This window comes from Homo sapiens, chromosome 3 (assembly GCF_000001405.40).
Source record: "Homo sapiens chromosome 3, GRCh38.p14 Primary Assembly".
NCBI lineage: Eukaryota > Metazoa > Chordata > Mammalia > Primates > Hominidae > Homo > Homo sapiens.
Window position 1 is genome coordinate 27,317,046 of NC_000003.12, and position 22,969 is coordinate 27,340,014.

Consider the following 22,969-nt stretch of genomic DNA (forward strand, 5'->3'; position numbering starts at 1 on the left):
AAGAATGAGAAAGACGCTTACTCCCTCTTAGAGAATTTTGTCATTATGTTATGTACTCAAGAATTTAACCTTCATTTATGAAATGAATATTTTCCCTCCATGCTCCCATGGAAAGTGGAGCAAGGCCAGGAGATTGCTCACAGACCCTGGTCTTCCTTGCATTTCCTTTCCTTATACCAACAGGACTGTACTAACCTGAGAGTGTAAACTAAAGAAAACCATGACTACAAGGTATGTATACACATGGGCTTAACACTTCTAGTTACTGACCTGAAAAGCAAATATGACTGCAAGCTTAGATTACAGCAATGCGCCCTGTGTGCCCTTTTAGCCCTCAGCATCTTTCACTTGTCACAGGCCAGAGGGCCATAAAACTGGTTTCTATATTTCTGAGTCTAATGACTTGGAGAAAGTTCCCTGGGTAATCTGAACTTTAGTTCAATCTGTAAACTGTGAACAATGTCCTTCCTAAGCTTACCCCCTGAATTGTTCCTTTTTTAAAAAAAATAGACTCAATAATATAATACTGGTAAAAAGTATGTTTTTAAGAATGGAGCACATTTTGCCAATATATTTTTATTACAGCCAAAACTGTCATTTCCATTTAGGGCTCTCATCCTAAGCCTACGTGGCAACTAAATCAATGAATGCTGAACACACTGCATAACTTTTAACACTGAATCACTGACATGACCATTTACTCCTCTGTTCAAAAATCATCAGTGGCTCCATAAAGTTTATTTATTTATTTATTTATTATTTATTTATTTATTTTGAGACAGAGTCTCCCTCTGTTGCCCAGGCTGGAGTGCAGTGGCGCGATCTTGGCTCACTGCAAGCTCCGCCTCCCGGGTTCACGCCATTCTTCTGCCTCAGCCTCCCCAGTGGCTGGGACTACAGGCGCCCGCCACCACGCCCGGCTAATTTTTTCTATTTTTTAGTAGAGACGGGGTTTCACCGTGTTAGCCAGGAAGGTCTCGATCTCCTGACTTCGTGATCCACCCACCTCGGCCTCCTAAAGTGCTGGGAGTACAGGCGTGAGCCACCGCGCCCAGCCAAAGTTTATTCTTTGGTTATGATTTTAATGCCCCTCTGTGGACTGGCCTTTACCTATCTTTCTAGGTTTGGAACAGTAACCACTCTTCTAAAAGGTTTGGTATACTCGATTTGTAGGAGGATGAGAAAAAAGGAAATACAAGAGATACTTCTAAAGTTTTCTACCGTAAGTCTGACAAAATATGGTGCCATTAAAAGAATCAGGAATTGATTCCAAAAGTTCAAGGATGAGGGGAAGAATTGAAGAGCTCCATTATAAAGTTATTGAGTATAATATGCTACAATTGCTGTTCTCAAAGTTTTGGTCTCAAACCCCTTTACACTCTTAAAAATTACTGAGAACCTCAAAGAGCTTTGTTTACATGGGTTAGAATGTATCTGTTTATATTTATTGTATTAGAAATTAAAAGTGAGAAATTTTTAAAACATAAGAATACACAAGTACACATGTTCCATCAGCTGCCAGGGCCATGATGTCATGAGATGTTGTGTAGCTTAGGGAAAATCCCACAGCACACATGTAAGAGAGTGACAAGACAAATAACATCACTGAGAATAATTTAGCATCGTGTTGAAGATAGCTTTGATCTTGTGGAATCCCTGAAAGGGTTTCAGAGACCTGTAAACTGTACACGGGCCCACACTTTGAAAACCATTATGCTACTGTGTCATCAAGGTGGTTGTCTAACATGTCTCTGGAAACTTGGGACTTAAAGGGGAAAGTTTGAGGCTGTAGATATGAACTTGTGAACAAACAGCAACAACAAAAAGATAGTTGAAGCCAAGAGCTTGGAAGATATGGGAGAAGACAATAAAGAAAAAAAAAACTTTGGGGAAGGTTATTTAGGAAGACAAGGTTAAGAATAGGAACGTGTAAATAATACCCAAAAAATGCTGAATAAATGCTAGAGGTTCTCAGGATCAGTACAGGCAAAGAGAAAACGTGGTACAGTGTGTCTCCTGCTAAAAACAGGTTGGGGAATGTAAGGGCTGAGAGAAGTCTACTCAATCGCACTATTTTTTATTATTGTTTCTAACATAATTACAATTCAGGATCTTTTAAGGTTTTCTCTTTATCTTTGATAAGCAATGTGCTATGGCTTCACTATAATGAATCCAGGTGAACATTTATCTTTATCCTGCTTGGGACTCGAGCTGTAACTGAAATCTCAATACGTGTCTTCGTTTAATTCTGAAAAACTCTAAACAATTATATCTTCAAAATGGCTTCTCTGTCATTCCTTCCAGTCTTTCCTGGCTGGAACATTCACTAAACATATAATGGAAACTGTACTAGCAGGAAAGATCCAGTCTACAAGCCACCAGTTTGCAACCTCTGAGTCGAAGAATGAGGACTGCAGCATGGCCCAGTGTGGTCTATTTAAATGGCTTCCAGAGAGAACCTTGTACATAGAATTCAATGTGCAAGTTATGCAATACATCAGTCCTGGTGGAAAGGAACTGGATTCAGGAGACAGCCTGACCTTTCAAGAAATATAGTATGAAAGTAGGAGGAGGACTTGAAGGAATAGCTGGGTCAAGAGAAGGACATTTTTATGATAAGGAAAAATAGAGAGCGGGTAGAAGGGAAAGCCTTGGCCAGGAAGAGGAATATTACTTCTGAAATATGAGGGAAGTAGAGTTGCGGGATAACCCAAATATTTCAAACAAAAAGAGAAAATAAGATAGCTCCCACTGGGATGGCCTTGGGCTTTCCTGTAAAACAGAGGATGATATAATTTGATGAGAATAATGGGGGCAGGAGAGGGTTTGGCTGAGAAAAGTGAAGATGGCTTGGAAGAGCCGCTATGGACCCTGCAGTACTGACTGAACAAGAGAGGAAAGGAACAGATACCCATGAAAAAGGCATGCTGAGAGCCACTGGCGTAAGTCGCAAGTTGTAGTAAACCCCAGCATAGCTTTGTGACTTCAGCCAACAATTCTTGGCACCTCAAGATGTTAAACAACTGCCTGAGCACGTGGTCTTCTGTGTGGAAAGAGTGCCAGGGAGGACAGACTCGGAGATAATTCCCTTCTATGGAAAGGCTGGCCAGCAGGACAATATTCGTTTAATATGTGTCTTGGTCACAAAATCTCATAAAGTCGTCTCTGAGTTTTTTCCTTCAGAGGGCAATACAATCAACCCTGTTCAATCCACCCAGAATGAGATTAAAAAAGACAGAACTTCAGATGGGAGATCAGCAGAGTAAGACACTCTTATCAACAGATTTTCTGAACAAACAGAACATCTCTAGGACAAATATTTGCTAGTTCAAGTCAGATTAACTGGACCTTCCTCCTGGAAAACGTTATTAATATTACACATATAATGTTTTCATCTAAACTGAGACACATTGGAGAATAAAAGACGGCACTATGAATAATTAAGTGGGAACAGTAAGCACATAATAAGACTGATCCAGGCAAAAGGAAACTTATGGCCCATGCTCATTTATACATGACCCAAACTGAATTGCGATAAGCAGCTCAGAAATGCATGGAACACACAGTTCTGTATGGTTGGTCACAGGAAAATAAGGATGCTTACCTACCCAGAAAACTGTGAGCAACAAGGACAGAAAGCCATTTCAAGGATGCCCTGGCTCACATATCCAAAGGGCTGTGGTTAGCTAAATTACAATAGCACGAGGCCAGTTTAGAATACAGTATGAGGAAGAGGACGATTCTTCTAATGGAAAGATGTGTAGTGCCCATGAATCCCAGAAGAGTCCAATCAGAGTAGGCTCTGTGGCTGGTTGGTACCAAAATACTTTCTCAAATGCCAAATATGGAAAAGATGGTTACTTCTGAAATACGAGGGAAGTAGAGTTGCAGGATAACCCAAATATTTCAAACAACAAAGAAAAAATAAGATAGCTCCCACTGGGATGGCCTTGGGCTTCCCTGTAAAACAGAGGATGGTTACTTTTCCAAACTTGGCACTTAAAGGAAACATATTCTGACTCAAATAACAATTCATCAATAAAATCGAGTTCAAAATTAAAGGTGTGAGCTTCCTAGTAGCTTACGAGGGCAGGGCATAAAAGGAGACACTTTTTCAGTTAAAAAAAAAAAAGTGTTAAGTAAGCTTTTCTTTAGAGCCTCACAGCTAAAGCACTATGTCTTTGCTACTCAAAGTATGGGCCATGAACTAGTAGCAATAGCATCCCTGGGAAACTTGTTAGAAATGAAGAATCTTGTTTATACATACTGAGTCAGATTCTGCATGTACAAGATGTCCAGGTGATTCCCATGCACATTAAAGTTTGAGAGGCACTAAAAACAGAGGCCAGGCATGGTGGTTCATGCCTGTAATCCCAGCACTTTGGGAGGTAGAGGCAGGCAGATCACCTGAGGTCAGGGGTTTGAGACCAGCCTGGCCAACATGGTGAAACCCCATCTCTACTATAAATGCAAAAATATTAGCCGGACATGGTGGCACGTGCCTGTAGTCCCAGCTACTCAGGAGGCTAAGGAGGGAGAATTGCTTAAACCTGGGAGGTGGAGAGTGCTAGGATTATAGGCGTGAGCCACCATGCCCAACCAGGAAAAGATTCTTGACCTCAGTGCCCTCCTTTGGGACAAGCAGGAGGCTCCTTGCTCACCTCTAGCTCAAATTTGACTCTAGAGGTTGGGAAGGGATTGACCCTGGAGCAGCTAGTAAAGCTCCATTGGCTGCCTCTCAGCCACATGAGCAGGCCATCACTCATCACTGCTGACTTTGACCTAGGGAGCTGCTTGGCCTTGAACATGTTTGAAGATGTGGCCAAGTGTATACCTCCTTGAATGGTAAATGGTTTAAAATGCCAAATAGCAAAGAAAACATAGACCAAAAAGTTCAATCCACTTAATCCCATAAGTAATACAACAGAAATACACAAATTTTTGGTCCCCATTAAAGCGCTCCTCTCAAATCTTTTTAAATAGTAGATGAGACATTCCCCATATATGGAAGCTATTGAGTTGTGAGAGAGAAAACAAAAAGTAAACATGGACTACTTCAAAGAAAAGCCCACCAGTCTTTTATTACAACTTTATAACAAGTAAAAAAAAAAATTGTATTTTTCCAACCAACCTGATAACATGGATCCCTCATTAGTAGCCTCAGACAGATTAACACTCTCAGAAAATGAATAGATGGGGCTCGATTAACCCACTCTCTGAAAGAAGAAAACAAGAGAACATGTTCACGTTTAAAATCCCAGTGTGGCAATTCATAAAAATGCAAGGCTATGAAGGAGTATAAAGAACGCACTAAGCACTTAGTTAATTTGCACTGGGGACTGTTATTTGGTACTTGAACACTTGACTCATTTTAATTCAAAACACATTTAAACTATCTTTTTCAGTGTGGAGGAGAGGCCCCCCCCAAACTTATTTGGTTCATGCCACCACCCTTACTGACTCAGTAATATTTCATAGTACCCTAAGATCAAACGAAAGAGCTAAATGTTCCAAAATTTAGGTAGGTCTAACTTGGTAAGAATTTACGCCATAACCAATTGGTATCCACTTGAAAAAATAATACATTACATCAAAAGATTATTTTCATAACCACACTTACTTATTAATGGGGGTGTGTGCATTAGTGGAAACAAAACAACTTCTCAAGCCTGGGAATCAGTTTGGACTTCACCATCTTTGTTTTCTCTTCCCCCTTTCATAGAGTACTTGTTTTTTTATCATAGCAACCACTGAAAACTCAGCTTCTGAAAGATATACCATCAGCTAAAGGAAGGCAGGATGACCTAACATTGAAATCACAAACTGCCTTCAGTTGTTCATGCTGTATCTGATGGATGTTGAGTAGCACTGAGGGTGTTTTTGGTTTTGTTTTTTAGAAAATTGAAAATACCTCACAGTGTCCCCTGGGAGTTCTCTGCAGCCCTGAGGCAGTTTGGTGCTCAGTTTGGGAAACACAGGGATAAAGTATTTTTTTAGATTAGTTTCCCCAGAAGCAGACCCTGAGATGAAGATTAGTGTGTGCAAATTAATGACTGAAAACATGCTCTCAGGAGAGGCCAGTAAGAGAGTGGGAGAAACAGGAAAGGGAAGAGGAGAAATCCAAGCAAGGGTATCACATCAGCCAAAATCTCCCCTCAATCCGAACAGTGGGGCTCTGGAATGTAAGTTACTGCTCAGAGTTGTCCCATACTGAGGCAAGGGCACTGGGCTTTTCTACACTACTGAAGCTGTTGCCATTCGCTAAGAGCTGCAGGAGGGACTGATGGAGCATTCCCAGACACTCCCACTGGCTCTCTGTGCCTGCAGGCAAGGTAGACTCAAGGAACCTGAGGGTGGTTGGTGCAAGTGTTGTTGGACAGGAAGGTGCCAAAACCAAAAGGGTGAGAACGGGAGGATTCTGGGCAAAGCACCAATACTACCCTACAGTTCTATAGTGAGATTCAGCAGAACCCTTTGAAATCAAAGTCACAGTCACTGGAGAAGTCATATTATGACAGAAACTGAAGGTGTATTTGCCACAGGTCTGTTCAGAGGGGGGAAAAAAAAACCTGGATTTTTACTTCAAATATTGAATATAGCCAATATCCAAAATACCATCATCAGATTTCTAAAGAACTATTTAACTTAAAAGTATCACTTCAATGTCATCAAATGCTACAAGTATTCACTCAACTACCTTTTGAGAGGCTTTCAAAAAGTATGTTTCTTTAGCAAAGAATGATTTAGTTGCATCCTTCAAAGGTCTTTAAAATAAGGACAATTGCAATTTTGCAATGTTTTTGAAAGAAGCCAGACACTAATCAAATTCAGAGGTGGTCACAAGGCCTTGCACCCAGCAGCTAGCAGCTACTCAAATATATATGGATGACCAATTCTCTGATTTAAACCAGTGTGGTAAAGGTAGGCACATTTTAGGCACCTCTCACTTAGATTTAAACCTAAGGGAGCATATCAGTCAAGGCAGAATCCCTCCACTGTCATGCCTCTATGAGCTCAGAAGGTGAGGTTAGCTTAGAAGTAGGAAGTCAGGGTAGGGATAGTCTATGCTCTTTGGTGACACCCACATCCCTTCCTGACCCTGCTGGGCCACTGTGAACAATTTCTATTTTGTCGCTCAGCTGTCCCACATCCAGTTATAGCTAGTAGTAAATGCAGTCAAAATGTTAAAGCTTTTCAGTCAGCTCCTAATGTTGCTTCATAGGCCATAGAACGTGCACAATGCAAGGTGCATTTCACATCAGTTGTTGAGGATACTTGTACCCAAAGAGTTGGAGCAACAGAGCCCAGACTGAAACTAGAACCCATGGCTTCCTGAATCTCAGTTTGATAGTCAGCATGTCTGAAATTGACTTCATGAACTCCCCCTCAAGCCTGATCCTTCCAGTCATCTAGGTAACCAGACAGAAACCCTTGGTGTTTTTCTTGCCTCCTCTATTTCCCTCACATTCTTTGCCAATTCCTCAGCAAATCCTGTCTGCTCTACCTTTAAAATATCTGCCTCCACAACCTATCCACTTCTCACTATTTCCTCCACCACCACCCAGGATCAAGCCACCACCATCTTTTGCTTGAGCCATTGCAAAAGCCTCCTATCTGGCATCTTTGCTTCCAGCTTTGCCCCTTCCTTTACTCTCTCACATCTGCCAAGATGATTCTTTACAAACACAAGTCCATTCACGTCACTCCTCAGCCCAAATCCTCCAACAGACCCCATCTCGTTCAGAATAAAAACCAAAGTCCATACCATGACTCATAGGCCCTCCAGGGCCTGGCCTCCCCATTACACCTCTGGCCTCATGTCTTTCCACTGCCCCTTGTTCACTCCCTCCCAGTCATGCTGACCTTCTCATTACATGGCTGGGCCAAGGTCCAGTGCCTAAGGTGCTTCCCATGAAAGCCTTTTGTGGCTTTTCAACACTGGAACCTCATAAAGAATTTGAAAGATGTTCTCCATGATATGAGGCCAGTCACCTGCAGTTGTTCTAACCACAGTGTATGTTGTGCAGAAGTGGCCAACACAGCACAGACTGAACTCCTGAGGTGAGAAAGAGAGGCTGAGTGCTGCCATGCACTGGAACTTGGAAACAGAAGGTGGTCCTGGCCAGGTGACACTTGCTCACACTGCCCTTCAAGCTAGTTCCATAGTGGTGCTTGGTGCACACGTTAACAAAAGCCTAAAACACAAAGCATCTTCTATTTCATACTCAGCCAAGAAAAAGCGAGGGAGATAATGGAAGCTATTCTAGACTAGAATCTATATAATTTCTCCCACATCTCCCACCTCCACAGCTGAGCTGATTGTGTATCCAGCAAGAATAAAGATCTGCCCCCTTGTCAAACACAGCAATTACTTGAGTTGTGGACCCAAGCCACTCATTGCCTGGCCTGTCCCACACTGATCCTCTGCCTCTGGGTACAGTTCATCTCTGTCTCCTCTATGATCCTGAGAAATTCAACTCTGCCCCCAAACCAGCACGTCTCAAACCTGAGTGAATGAGAACCATCTTCCTCAAAGTTAGGATGAACATTTGTAGTGACTGCCACTAGAGGTGCTACTCCCCACCCCACCCCACTCACACTCCACCCCAAGCCACTCACCATTCCTTCCATCTACAAAGACTGACTTCATGGGAAGGAGGTTGATAGGTAAGCTCTTCCCAAAGTCTTATACTCCTGAGTGCTCATTATAGATTACAGTCCCCCAACAAGGCCTGGCTCTGTGGAGAGATGTTGAGTAAGATGTCCAAAGAATATCACTGGCTGAGGATTACTCTTCCTCCCATCACCAAGACTCTTGGCAGCTATGCTGCCCACCACAGTTGCCATCAACACCTTGGCCCCTCCTCTGGCCCAAGCACCCTGTCAGTGACCCCTTTTTGCCAAGGGGACAAAGCCCAGTTTCCTCTGAAAATAGAGTCAGGATTCAACCAATCCCAAAACTGCCAGCCAGGCAGAATTATCCAAGGCCACATCCAGGATGTACTATGGGTTCATCCTGACTTCAGATCAGACATACCCTGCATTGGGAAAAATAAACCAAATTTGAAATACATTTTGAACTCAAAATGATCATCTATGGGGGCACTTACTAAAAATATGGTTATTCTAAAGCTCCTAATACAGAGAGGATATCTTTAATCTTTATAATTAGGAAGAGGGCACATGACAAGTTTCTCTTTCAGGTGCTGGGTTAGCTAAAGGCAGCATGTAGCCTGAATTATAGGGCAAAGATACTACATCCCAAAGATCTAACAGAAGTAATGATCAGGTTGCAACAGCTGCTAGCAACCTAGTGATGTTGAATGCTAATTACTTTTCATTATTTAAAGGAAAAGCCATGGGGCATTTTAAGAGATGATTCACGCTACAAATATGTGTACAGTTGGTATTTTTTACTGTTAGCCATATACAATCATCATGAGGAAATTTCATGACTTTTCCAGTGATTTTTCATATTAATATAAATATAAAAAGTTTGTTTCCTTCCCACCTCCCAGGAAAAAGAAAAGAACAAAAATTCCAGAATAGTTTTTTTTAACTAATAAAGAAGTGTATATAAATGAAGAGTTCCAGAAAAATCTCAGAGTTGAAATTTCTGTTCCAACCAAATGGAATTTTTGTTTTGTTTTGTTTTGCAATTTGGGAACTGAAGCCCAAAGCTATTAATATTTCTACGCGGCCTCTGCTGCTGTAAATGTAAATAGAATTCCTGGTGTCTGAGTCCTCTGGCTTCTCATCTCTTTGCGCTGACCTCTGAAAGAGCAGTTGTTCCTTCCTTGGCTCTCAGCCCTTAACCCACTGCAAGGACGGAGCACATGGGATGAAGTGCTGGTGTTCAAGGAGAATTGCATGCTCTTCAAGACTATACACACATATACACATATATACATACATCTGTTTGCCACCAGCTGAGGGACTAGGAAACACACAGCTTAGTGCAACTGGAGAATTACAGTGAATAATAGTGACAGATTGTAAAGACAGGCACCTTTATTTTACTGACTCAGCAATTGTGGCCTGGAGGAGCTGAGTGTCTGGCCCACAGCTACACAATAAGTAATAGAGCCAGGTGCCAGACTCCCATTCCAGTGCTCTTGCCATCCCTCCCCTCCACCTAAGTCTATACAGGGATGGCTGAAGAGAAAGTGACTCTGCAGATATGTTTAATATGGGAACAGTAGCATTCAGCAGAGTGGCATGGGGGCAGCCCTGAGAAACCTGTCTGCAAAGATAGTATTTCTCTAGAGGCCATGTCTCAATATAGCAGCCACACAGAAGCAAATTCATGAGCGGGCAAATATTTGTCCCCTCTTATGACTGAACTTATGCCACTGTTTTCACAGGACTATTAATACATGGCAGCGTGATCAGCTCCTGCCACCCCTGTCCGTGACCACCTGCCATTCTGCTGTCAGCATCAGGTGCCATCTTCTGCCATCAATATAAAATGAAGGAAAAGCACCGGAGACACATTATTTGAAAAGGGAAAGAGTAGCCAGGGTTTCAACTTCTTACACAGTAAGAGAAACAAATATGTGATGTGAGGGTTCCAAGTAAAAAGTCAGTCCACGAAGCTGTGCTATTATAATGAAGCAGGGTTAACTGAACCCAGGAACTGATGCAAATGGCAGAAGTGACAATGTTGACTGTATTTGTAGCACACTCTGTCTTTTTCATGTCACAGCCCTTTTCATGTTGTAGTAGTTTTCATTAACCACAAGACAAACCAAAACAACCTGCCATCTTTGACTCATTAAAAACAGAGGAATTCAAGCCTATTTCAAAACACATATCACCTCAAATTCATAAGACAGAGTCCAATTTTTTTGGATAGCTGAAAAAGTAAAATTCACATCTATGCAAAACTTAAAAAAAAAAAAACAAGAATATATGTGAAGAAATTCATCCTAAATGATTATTTAGGGAATTCTCACTGACTTATTTTGCTATTCTTAACAGGTCTTTGTTCTTTCTCTGTGTCCCCTACTAAATCTAGCATGAAATGTACACCCAATCAGAAACCCATCAAATGGATCATGTTGGCCCCTAAAATCAGGATATAAATGCATTCTTAGAGGTATTTCTTCTACATAATTAATGAAAATTTCAGAATATTTTCAAATATTTAGTATATACTCATCACCTGTGATCAGCCAAGTACTGTTATAAGCCCAGGAGTACAGCAGAGGAAAAACCCATGCACTTGTACTCATGGAGCTTACATTCTGATCACAAAAACAAATAAAAATGCATATCAGGTGGTGGCCAGTGGAGAATAATCAAGGTTAAGGATTTAATGAGTACTGGGCATGCTATTTTAGGACAGTCACAGAACAGTTCTTTGATAAGATTAGCATCTGAGTTATTTGAGGGATTGATCCATATGGATGTCTAGGTCAGAACAGCAGAGTAGTTAAATACATAGTCCCTGAGGCAGGAATACTGTAAACTGCAAAGAATAGCAAGGAAGCCAGTGGGGCTGGAGCAGAGTGAGCAAAGATAGAGCAATAGGGATTGGGGTGAGAGAGACAGGAGAAGCCAGAGCTTTAACGGCCTTGTAAAATAAGAACAGGGCCTTTGGATTTTTTATCCAGGGAAGTCACTGGAAGGCTCTGGGGAGAGGATTGACATAATCTGAAGGAGATCTTGAAAAAATCCTTCTAAATTCAACGTTGAGAACAGAGTATAAAGAGCCAAGCATCAAAAGCAGGGAGCCCTGTTAGCCTACTGCAATAGTCCAAGCAAGAGATGATGGGGGTTTGGACTAGCTGATGGGGAAGACTAAAACTGAGGCATTCTCACACATTGAGTGAGAAAACTCAAAAGTACTGTTTTAAACATGTTAACTTTGAGATGCTTAAAGAAGGAAGAGCCCACAAATCAATATGTATAACAAAAGATGAATTTACAGCAAAGGAGAGTGATATGGATTGGCTGTGTCCCCACCCAAATCTCATCTTGAATTCCCACATGTTGTGGGAGGGACCTGGTGGGAGGTATTTAATCATGGGGGCAGGTCTTTCCTGTGCTGTTCTTGTGATAGTGAATGAGTCTCATGAGATCTCATGGTTTTAAAAATGGGAGTTTCCCTGCACAAGCTCTTTTTGCCTGCTGCCATCCATGTAAGACATGAATTGCTCCTCCTTGCCTTCTGCCATGATTGTGAGGCCTCCCCAGCCACATGGAAATGTAAGTCCATTAAACTTTTTTCCTGTATAAATTACCCAGTCTTGAGTATGTCTTTATTAGCGACGTGAAAACAGACTAATACAGAGAGTGTACTTAGAAGGCCCCATTTCTTGGAGCTAAGTGGATAGGAAAATTTAGGAAAGGCCAGGTTTCACAAGGCTGTTTGGGGATTGGTTGATTTTTAGCTGTGGAAATGCGGCTCCCAGGATGTGACTGTCAGTTACTTCCTGGCTCTCAGAAACTTATGTACTCATGAGAAACTGTCATTTATTGATTTGGCCAGGTTTAAAACTGGTTCTGGTGGTTACCTGTAGCCAAGGAACAACCAGTTCTTTCCTGGGAAGGTAGGAACATTTTCACTTCATGCCTATTGACAGCCAAGTGAATGAGCTACACAAGAAGCAGTAAGTCTGGTTACCAAAGTGATACTTTTCCCTGGTGCACACCTAAAACAAATTTTAAATGTGCATTGATTAGTAAAGAACAAGGGAATCCGTGAGGCATTAGAGAAAAGAGTACCAGCCATGGCTTTGTCTCAGGACCTTGGACCTTACCTGCTCATCTCCCACATCTATCAAATGAGGCTTAAGAAGGTTTTCTTCAGAGTCCATTCTACCTCTATAATTTCATGACTTTTTTGGTATATATAGTCATCCCTTGGTATCCTCAGGAGTTCCAGGACACCCACGGTTACCAAAATCCACAGAACCTACACATATTCTCACATGTACTATAAATCATCTTAGATTACTCATAATACCTAATATGACATAAATGCTATGTAAGTACTTTTTATTGTTGTGTTTTTTATTGTTTTTCCTGAATATTTTTTAATCTGCAGTTGGTTGAATCTGATGATGCAGAACCCTTGGATATCAAGGGCTGACTGTGCCTGTGTGTGTGTGTACATGTGTGTACACATTTACCTAAAATACCCTAGATAATATTGCATGAGAAATAATAATATAAGAGCTAGATATTTGCTCCAAGTTAGGTGATGGGAAGAAGGGAAATCATCATTTGCTTGAGGACTACATGAGATCTTAGGTTGTTAAAGCTTATTTGCTTCATGTCTATGTTTAAGGTTGTGAAGCTTTGAGTAAAAGAGAGAAAAAAAGACAAATTTCATTCTCAAACAATGATCCAGCTGTTTAAAAAGTTCTACTCTGGGTAAAAGCAGAATGTAGTTTTGTATGTGCATAATAATCTATCAGATAAGTGAAGGAAAAAAGCATAAAATTGTTAAAAGATTAGAAGGAAATGTAGCAAAAGTTAATATAGCTGTTTCTAAGGGTGGTATAAATAGTAAGTTTTCATGTTTTTATAATTTTCTGTGTTTTCCAAAATTTTTAAAGCAATCAAAATAATTTAATGCAAAGAAATTCCAAATGAACAATCTTAGCCTCAATGTTCACCTAACAAAACCAGTGTCAATGGCTCGAGCAGGGGATAAAAGACTATAAAGAGGTGGAGACGGAGTGCTTCAGGCAGAGGACTACCACGGTCAAAGGATCAGAGGTGACAAAAAGAATAACTTTCATAGGAACAGAAATTTCACTCTGACCTCAATGAGTCCAGGAAAGACACTGGACAGAATAAAGAGATGAGGCCAAGAAGGAACAAGATCTCAAAGAACTATGTGAACCAACTAAGGAATAGGCCGTTATAACATTTTTTAGTACCTAAAGACACAAACCTGGCTGGATGCAGTGGCTCACACCTGTAATCCCAGCACTTTGGGAGGCCGAAGTGGGCGGATCACCTGAGGTCAGGAGTTCAAGACCAGCCTGGCCAACATGGCGAAACCCTGTCTCTACTAAAAAATACAAAAATTAGCCAATCGTGGTGGCAGGCACCTGTAATCCCAGCTACTCGGGAGGCCGAGGCAGGGAGAATCGCTTAAACTTGGGAAGTGGAGGTTGCAGTGAGCTGAGATCAGGCCACTGCACTCCAGCCTGGGTGATAAAGTAAGACTCTGTCTCAAAAAAAAAAAAACAAAAAAAAAAAACACACAAACCTAAGACTTTTGAGGCCTTAATGAAACTTTATCTGTGCCCAGTCTATGGTGCTAACTTGAACATCTGTCTCTAGGGAGGTTCTGAACTATCTGACAGGCTTTACCAAGGTGACCAGGCTTCTCCTTTCTTAGGCAATAAGGAACCTTCAAAGGTCTCTATTGGCCTCTGTACTGGCTGAAGAGATAAATTCACAGAAAAAGCATCTCTTCATTAGCTTCATCTATTTCAAGAACTTATTCAAAACACTGAAGAGATTGTCCCTGCATCCTAACTTCTGGTCCTCTCATCTAACCTCCCTCTGCGATGGAGTCTGGATAGTCAATGCTGAGGACCAGGTAAAGCTTGAAAGGAAAAGAGTCACTTGCTTCATGATCTAGGTCCTGGAGCAGATATTGATAACGAATTGTCTGATAGCTAAACACATAACTATATTAATCCTCTTGGTTATAAGTATCTATGATGTTCTCAGAATACTTTTTATGATAATTTCTAATAACGTTGTGATGTTTTCTCCTAATTCAACAAGTTTTCTCTTATACATCGTGGAAACATTTCTCACCTAGACTTCCTACAGACTCATTTCCAAAATTCTTCAAATTTGTAGCAGATATCTCAGGAAACTGGGGTATAAAATAATAAGGATACTAACTTATTCTTTTCAGAAAAGTAAATTAATTTTTTTGCAAATAAGGTCATACTAAATGGTTTCTTCCAACTCATTCCAGCTAGAATGAGTACCTTGGACAAGTTTACCTACACAAAAGTTACAGGCAAAGGAAGAGGCATATGCTGGTTATTCTAGAACGATAGTACCAGAACGAGGCCAGTTAAGTAAAGCCACTTCAAAATAATACCAAATTTCATATTAAAGAGCAGGAGGAAAGATTGAAACAACATCTTAAAAAGTAAATTATGAAACCAAGATGTATTTTATTTTACGTTTAACAAAATTTAAGTTATACTGCAACATTGCCCTGGTAACTAGAGCAAAGCAAGAATAAACTCTGCTGACATTTTTGGAACACTTTTTCTGAAAAAATATTCATATAACATGATCCAATTCTTTCTTTACTTTTGATTTTGCAAGAAAAAGAGGTTTATTTTTGTGAATATATTGGAAGGATTCATTATTTTTTCCCAAAGTTCTCTCCTATTCTTTGTTTTTCCAAACATACCTTCATCATTTTCCTTGTTAACACTCTCTTCCTTCATTGTCAGGTGACCTATTTCTGCCTGAGTCTTGTTTGTCATATTCCACCAGCTCAGCTCCATCACTTTCAATAACTTCATAAAATTCTACAACTTCAGCCAGATTTGCAAGTTTGTTTCACAAATACATAATATTTGCCTTGTAATACGGAATCTTCACGTCAGCAAGGAATGGACTAACAAAGAGGAATTCCAGAGAAGCAGATATACACAAGAGATCTCTGAATAGAGGTCAATTTTATAAGAGGTCAATTAATTAGAGAATATGATAATGTTTTGACAACTTCCCTACACAGCTCATAACAACCTGGTCTTGGATACCAACGCCCTTTGTACTTACCCGTTCAGGCAGATGAGATGGAAATGGAATCAAACTCTACTACACACAAATGACGTCACGAGAGAAAAAAAGATTGGAAGACCACAATTTGTTTCCATATCTTGCCACACCTTGAGATTCGTTACCAGGAGTAACAATTCAAGAGAGCTGACTAGGGGCATTTTGTACTTGCTTCCTCCACTAAGAAGAACCAATATAGTGAGTAGATAATTATGCTTCAAATAGGTCACCCAAGAGAGAATACTGGAATTCAGTAGAAAAGTGGCAGGCAATACCTAAAGTAAAGAAGGAGAAGGAAGTAAGGAAGCCTGCTTAGCCAAGATCAGCTGTGAGCCAAGGAAGACTACAATACAGGGAAAGGGTGAGTGAGAGACCCTCAGTAGTCCACATTATCACCATGGACTCCTGCAATCCTAGCCATGGGAGAGCTCCTTGACCCATGGCCAGGTGCGGTGGCTCACACCTGTAATCCTAGCACTTTGGGAGGCTGAGGCAGGCAGATCACTTGAGGTCAGGAGATCAAGACCAGCCTGGCCAACATGGTAAAGCCCTGTCTCTACTAAAAATACAAAAATTAGCCCAGTGTGGTGGCAGGCACCTGTAATCCTAGCTATTTGTGAGTCTGAGGCAGGAGAATCACTCAAACCCAGGAGGCAGAAGTCGCAGTGAGCCCAGATCGCATCATTGCACGCCAGCCTGGGCAACAAGAGCAAAACTCCGTCTCAAAAAAAAAAAAAAAAGAACTTTGTCTTCAATAGACTGAATGCTATCCTGCAACCCAGTAGCACCAGGGCTGAGGTGCGGGAGAAGCATGAGCTGCTGCCCTCAGGGCTTAGGCACAAGCAACCGTGGGCTACCATACCCAGGTAGGAGGCATGATCAAGATGCAGGCTACAACCAGGGCTGAGCAAGGCACCATTCTAGAGCCCTACCCCCAACAGAGTATGCACTATCCTGGAAGCCAGCAGTGCTGGGACAGAGGTGCAAGAGAAGAGCTGGCTGTTGACCCCAGGGCTTAGGAACAAGCAACCATGGGCTACCATACCTGGGGCTGAGGCACAAGTGGCACACATGCTTAACATCTGCTGGCCTAGGCTGCCATCACTAAAAACATTGCCTCTCCACCAACACCACCCAGTGGCATTCTGCCAGTGGCCTAGAGGTTGCCCCATTCCTGCCTACCATGGCCAACACCTGTACACAGAACTGCAGGGCCCTGAGGACCAGCCAGCCTAGCCCAGCTTCACCCTCCCCTCCATGCCAGAGCATACAGTCCAAGGGCCAGGGGATTGCCCAGCCTAGTCTACCACCACTGGCACCTAAACCCTCCTCCCAAGGGCCTGAAGTTGAGCTTACCCACCAAGCCACTACAACCACAGCTGGCACCTACCAGCATGTGCTGCCTGCAGGCCTGGAAACTAGTGTGCCTAGCCCATTGCAGCCACCACCAACACCAGCATGCATTACTTGGGACTTAGAGGTTAGTCCTACAACTGCCACTACCATCACTCAAACATACCAGCTGCTCAGGGGCATGAGAACCCTTCTACCTGTCCAGCCCATGGTTGTCACTACTGGCATCCAAGTAAGCCACTTGGAGGCCCAAGAATAGACCCAACTGGACCTGCTAACACTAGTGGCAGTGTATGCCATCTAGGGTCCCCAGGATAGGCATGATATCCCACTGATGCCTCCCCAGGAGACTGAAGACTAGCCTACCTTGTGTCCCAGTCTCCACCAAAACTACACCCCAGCCTCCAATAATAACTACAGCCTAAGCCACTGGGGAAATCTCAGATATCACTGACACTGTTTATAGAGAAAGAAATCATACAGAGACTGCACAACTGTACTCACCCAGAATCAAAACCAAAGTACCCTACCCAACCAACATTATAGATTCATCCTCAGGAAAAAATCTTCCCATATGAAAGCCAATTTTAAAAATTAGAAGTGACTATTATACCAGATGTGCAGATGTCAGTGTAAGAACACAGGAAACATGAAAAAGAAAGGAAATATGACACCTCCAAAGGAGAACAATGATTATCCAACAATAGATCCCAATCAAAAATAAATTCAGAAAATCATGGAAAAAGAATTCAAATTGTTTCAAAAGAAGTTCAGTGAGATATAAGAAAAGTCCAAAAAATATAAATAAATCAGAAAAACAATTCAGGATACAAATTAGAAATTTACCAAAAACATAGATATCTTAAAAAAAGAACCAAAGTGGCTGGGCACGGTGGCTCACACCTGTAATCCCAGCACTTTGGGAGGCGGAGGCGAGTGGATCACCTGAGGTCAGGAGTTCAGGACCAGCCTGGCCAACATGGTGAAGCTCCCTCTCTACTAAAAACTACAAAAATTAGCTAGGCTTGGTGGCAGGCACCTGTAATCCCAGCTACTTGGGAGGCTGAAGCAGGAGATTCGCTTGAACCTGGGAGTTGGAGGTTGCAGTGAGCCGAGAATGCACCATTGCACTCCAGCCTAGGTGACAGAGTGAAACTCTGTCTCAAAAAAAAAAAAAAGAACCAAATAATACTAGATCTAAAGAGAGAGATAGACTCTAATACAATAATAGCGAGGGACTTTAAAACCCCCACTCTCAGCAGTAAGCAGAGGTTCTAGGTAGAAAATCAACAAAGAAACGTTGGATTTAAACTGGACATTAGACCAAATGAACATAACAGACATTAACAGGACATTTTATCCAACAACTCAACAACTGCAAAATACAGTTCTTCTCCTCAGTACATAGAACATTCTCCATGATAGACCATGTTAGGCTAAAAAGTAAGTCTCAACACATTTTTAAAAAGTGAAATCATATCAAGTATCTTCTCAGAGCAGAATGGAATAAAACTAAAAATCAATAACAAGAGGAACTTTGGAAACTACACAAATACATGGAAATTAAACATTTGCTCCTGAATGACCATTGAGTCAATAAAGAAACTAAAATGTAAATAGAAAAATTTCTTGAAACAAATGAATGTGGAAACACGACATACCAAAACCTGTAGGACAAAGCAAATGCTGTACTAAGAAGGAAGTTTATAGCAATAAAATGCTTACATCAAAAAAGTAGAAAGATTTTAAACAATCTAATAATACACCTCAAGATACTAGAAAGGCAAGAACAAACCAAACCCCAAATTAGCAGAAGGAAAGAAACAAAAAAGATCAGAGCAGAATTAAACAAAATAGAGGCTAAAAAACAACACAAAGCATCAATAAAACAAAAAGTTGGTTCTTCAAAAAGATAAACAAATTAATGAATCGCTAGCTAGACTAACAAAGACGGAAAGACCCAGACCAAAATCAGAAATGGAAAAGGAGATATTACAACTGACAACACAAAAATACAAAAGATCATCAGAGACTATTATGAACAATTATATGCTAACAAACTGAAAAACCTAGAGGAAATGGATAAATTCCTAGAAACTACAACTTCCCAAGGTTGAAGCAGGAAGAAATAAAAAAACAACAGACCAATAATGAGTAGCAAGATTAAATAAGTAATAAAAATTCTCTTAAAAATGAAAAGCCTAGGACTGGTGGATTCACTGCTGAATTCTACCAAACATATAAGGAAGAACTAATATCAATCCTCCTGAAACTATTCCAGAAAATTGAAGAGGAAGGAATTCTCTCTAACTCATTGTGTGAGGCCAGCATTACCCTAATAACAAAACAAGACAAGAATAGAACAAAAACCATGAAAACTATAGAACAGTATCCCTAATGAACATAGATGTAAAAATCCTCAACAAAGTACTAGCAAACCAAATTAAATAGCGTATCAGAAAGATAATACATTATGACCAAGTGGGATTTACACCAGGGAAACAAGAATGGTTTGGCATGCAAAAGTAAATAAATGTTATACATCACATCAACAGAATGAACGATAAACAACATATGATCATCTCAATAGATGCAGAAAAAGCATTTGATAAAATCCAATATCCTTCCTGATTAAAAACTCTCAACAAACTACGCATAGAAGGAACATACCTCAACATAATAGAGGCCATATAGAAAAATATCAACTTCAGCCAATATCATACTGAAGGTTTTTCCTCCAAGAAATGGAACATGACAAGGCTGTCTACCTGCACCACTCAAATTCAACATAGTACTGGAAGTCCTAGCCAGAACAATAAGTCAAGACAAAGAAATAAAAGGCATACACATTTGGCGGGGGGGAAAGGAAGATGTACCTCTTTGCAGATGACAGGATCTTATATTTAGAAAAACCAAAGACTCAGGTATGAAAACTAAATTCAGTAAAGTTGCAGGATACAAAATCAACCTACAAAAATCAGTAGAATTTTTATACACCAACAATGAAATAGCTGAAAAAGAAATCAAGAGGACAATCCTATTTCCGATAGCTACCAAAAAAATAAAATACCTAGAAAAATAATGTGACCAACGAGGTAAAAGACGTCTACAAGGAAAACTACAAAACACTGATGAAAGAAACTAAGGAGGACACAAAGGAAAGACATTCCATGCTCGTGGATCAGAATATCATTAAAATGACCATACTACCCAAAGTAATATACAGATTCAATGCAATCCCTATCAAAAGATCATATTTCACAGAAATAGAAAAAAAAGAAATAAAATTCATATGAAACAAAAACCAGAAGAGCCAAAGCAATCCTGAGCAAAAGAACAAAGCAGGACCCATCACACTACCTGACTTCAAAATATATTACAAGGCCATAGTAACCAAAACAGCATGGTAATGGTATAAAACCAAACATATAGACTGATGGAACAGAATAGAGAACCCCAAAACAAATCCACATATTTACAGCCAATTGATTTTTAACAAAGGCACCAAGAATATTCACTGCAAAAAGGACACCCTCTTCAATAAATGGTGCAGAAGAAATTGGATATCAGTATGCAGAAGAATGAAACTGGACCCCTATCTCTCTCTCACCATATACAAAAATCAACACAAGATGGATTAAAGACTTAAACATTAAGATTCAAAACTATGAAACTACTAACTAAAAACAGAAAACACTTTCCTATGAAACATAGGAAGGTGTAGGCAAAGATTTTTTTTTAGGGTTTTGATTGCTAGTTTTTAATGTTTTTCTTCTTTTATTATTATACTTTAAGTTCTAAGGTACATGTGCACAACGTGCAGGTTTGTTACATGGGTATATATGTGCCATGTTTGTTTGCTGCACCCATCAACTCATCATTTACATCAGGTATTTCTCCTAATGCTATCCCTCTCCCAGCCCCCCAACAGGCTCCGGTATGTGATCTTCCGCTCCCTGTGTCCATGTATTCTCATAGTTCAACTCCCACTTATGAGTGAGGACATGCGGTGTTTGGTTTTCTGTCCTTGTAATATTTTACTGAGAAGGATGGTTTCCAGCTTCATCCACGTCCCTGCAAAGGACATGAACTCATCATTTTTATGGCTGCATAGTACTCCACGGTGTATATGTGCCACATTTTCTTTACCCAGTCTATTATTGATGGACATTTGGATTGGTTCCAAGTCTTTGCTATTGTGAATAGTGCCGCAATAAACATACCTGTGCATGTGTCTATAGTAGAATGATTTATAATCCTCTGGGTACATACCCAGTAATGGGGATTGCTGGGTCAAATGGTATTTCTAGTTCTAGATCCTAGAGGAATTGCCACACTGTCTTCCACAATGGTTGAACTAATTTACACTCCCACCAACAGTGTAAAAGTGTTCCTGTTTCTCCACATCCTAAGTTATTTCCTGACTTTTTAATGATTGCCATTCTAACTGGCGTGAGATAATATCTCATTGTGGTTTTGATTTGCATTTCTCTGATGACCAGTGATGATGAGCATTTTTGCATATGTCTGTTGGCTGCATAAATGTCTTCTTTTGAGAAGTGTCTGTTCATATCCTTTGCCCTCTTTTTGATGGGCTTGTTTTTTTCTTGTAAATTTGTTGGAATTCTTTGTAGATTCTGGATATTAGCCCTTTGTCAGATGGCTAGATTGCAAAAATTTTCTCCCATTCTGTAGGTTGTGGTCTAGGCAAAGATTTTATGGCTAAGACCTCAAAAGCACAGACATTAAAACAAAAATAGACAAATAGAACTATAATATACTAAAAACTTCTGCACAGCAAAGGAAGCAATCAAGAGAGTGAAGAGACAACCTGTTAAATAGGAGAAAATATTTACAAACTATTCATCAACAAGCGACTAATATCCAAAATATACAAGGAACTCAAACAGCTCAATAGCAAAAAATAAGCAAATTATACCATTAAAAAGTGGGCAAAGTTGCCTGTTCACTCTGAGGATAGTCTCCTTTGCTGTGCAGAAGCTCTTTAGTTTAATTAGATCTCATTTGTCCATTTTGACTTTTGTTGCAACTACTTTTCGTGTTTTAATCAGGAAGTCCTTGTCCATGCCTATAAATGGGAGAAAATTTTTGCAATCTACCCATCTGACAAAGGTCTAATATCCAGAATCTACAAGAAATTTAAACAAATTTACAAGAAAAAAACAAACAACCCTATCAAAAAATGGGCAAAGGATATGAGCAGACACTTCTCAAAAGAAGACATTTATGTAGCCAACAAACATATGAAAAGGAGCTCATCATCACTGGTCATTAGAGAAATGCAAATCCAAACCACAATGAGGGCTGGGCACAGTGGCTCACGCTTGTAATCCCAGCATTTTGGGAGGCTAAGGTGGAAGGATCACGAGGTCAAGAGTTTGAGACCAGCCTGGCCAATATGATGAAATCCTGACTCTACTAAAAATACAAAAATTAGCCAGGTGTGGTGGTGTGCACCTGTAGTCCCAGCTACTTGGGAGGCTAAGGCAGGAGAATTGCTTGAACTCGGGAGGTAGAAGTTGCAGTGAGCCGAGATCGGGCCACTGCACTCCAGCCTGGGCCACAGGGCGAGACTCCATCTCAAAAAAAAAAAAAAAAAACCCACAATGAGATAGCATCTCACGCCAGTTAGAATGGTGATTATTAAAAAGTCAGGAAACAACAGATGCTGGCGAGGTTGTGGAGAAATAGGAACACTATTACACTGTTGGTGGGAGTGTAAATCAGTTCAACCATTATGGAGGACAGCATGGTAATTCCTCAAGGATCTAGAACCAGATATAACATTTGAACCAGCAATCCCATTACTGTGTAATAT

At 40.6% G+C, this 22,969-nt stretch overlaps 1 protein-coding gene across 30 annotated transcripts in view; it reads right to left on the reverse strand.

Moving 5' to 3' along the window:
* Positions 1–22,969, reverse strand: part of NEK10 (NIMA related kinase 10) — a 262,900-nt gene that overhangs the window by 210,562 nt on the left and 29,369 nt on the right. For all 30 annotated transcript variants that reach the window (XR_001740034.2, NM_001394969.1, XM_047447506.1 and 27 more), the window contains one exon: positions 5,132–5,216. Coding sequence is in view for 29 of the 30 variants with exons in the window: in NM_001394969.1 (NP_001381898.1) it covers positions 5,132–5,216 (85 nt within the window). In the remaining variant the exon portion in view is untranslated. The remainder of the gene's footprint in view (positions 1–5,131; positions 5,217–22,969) is intronic.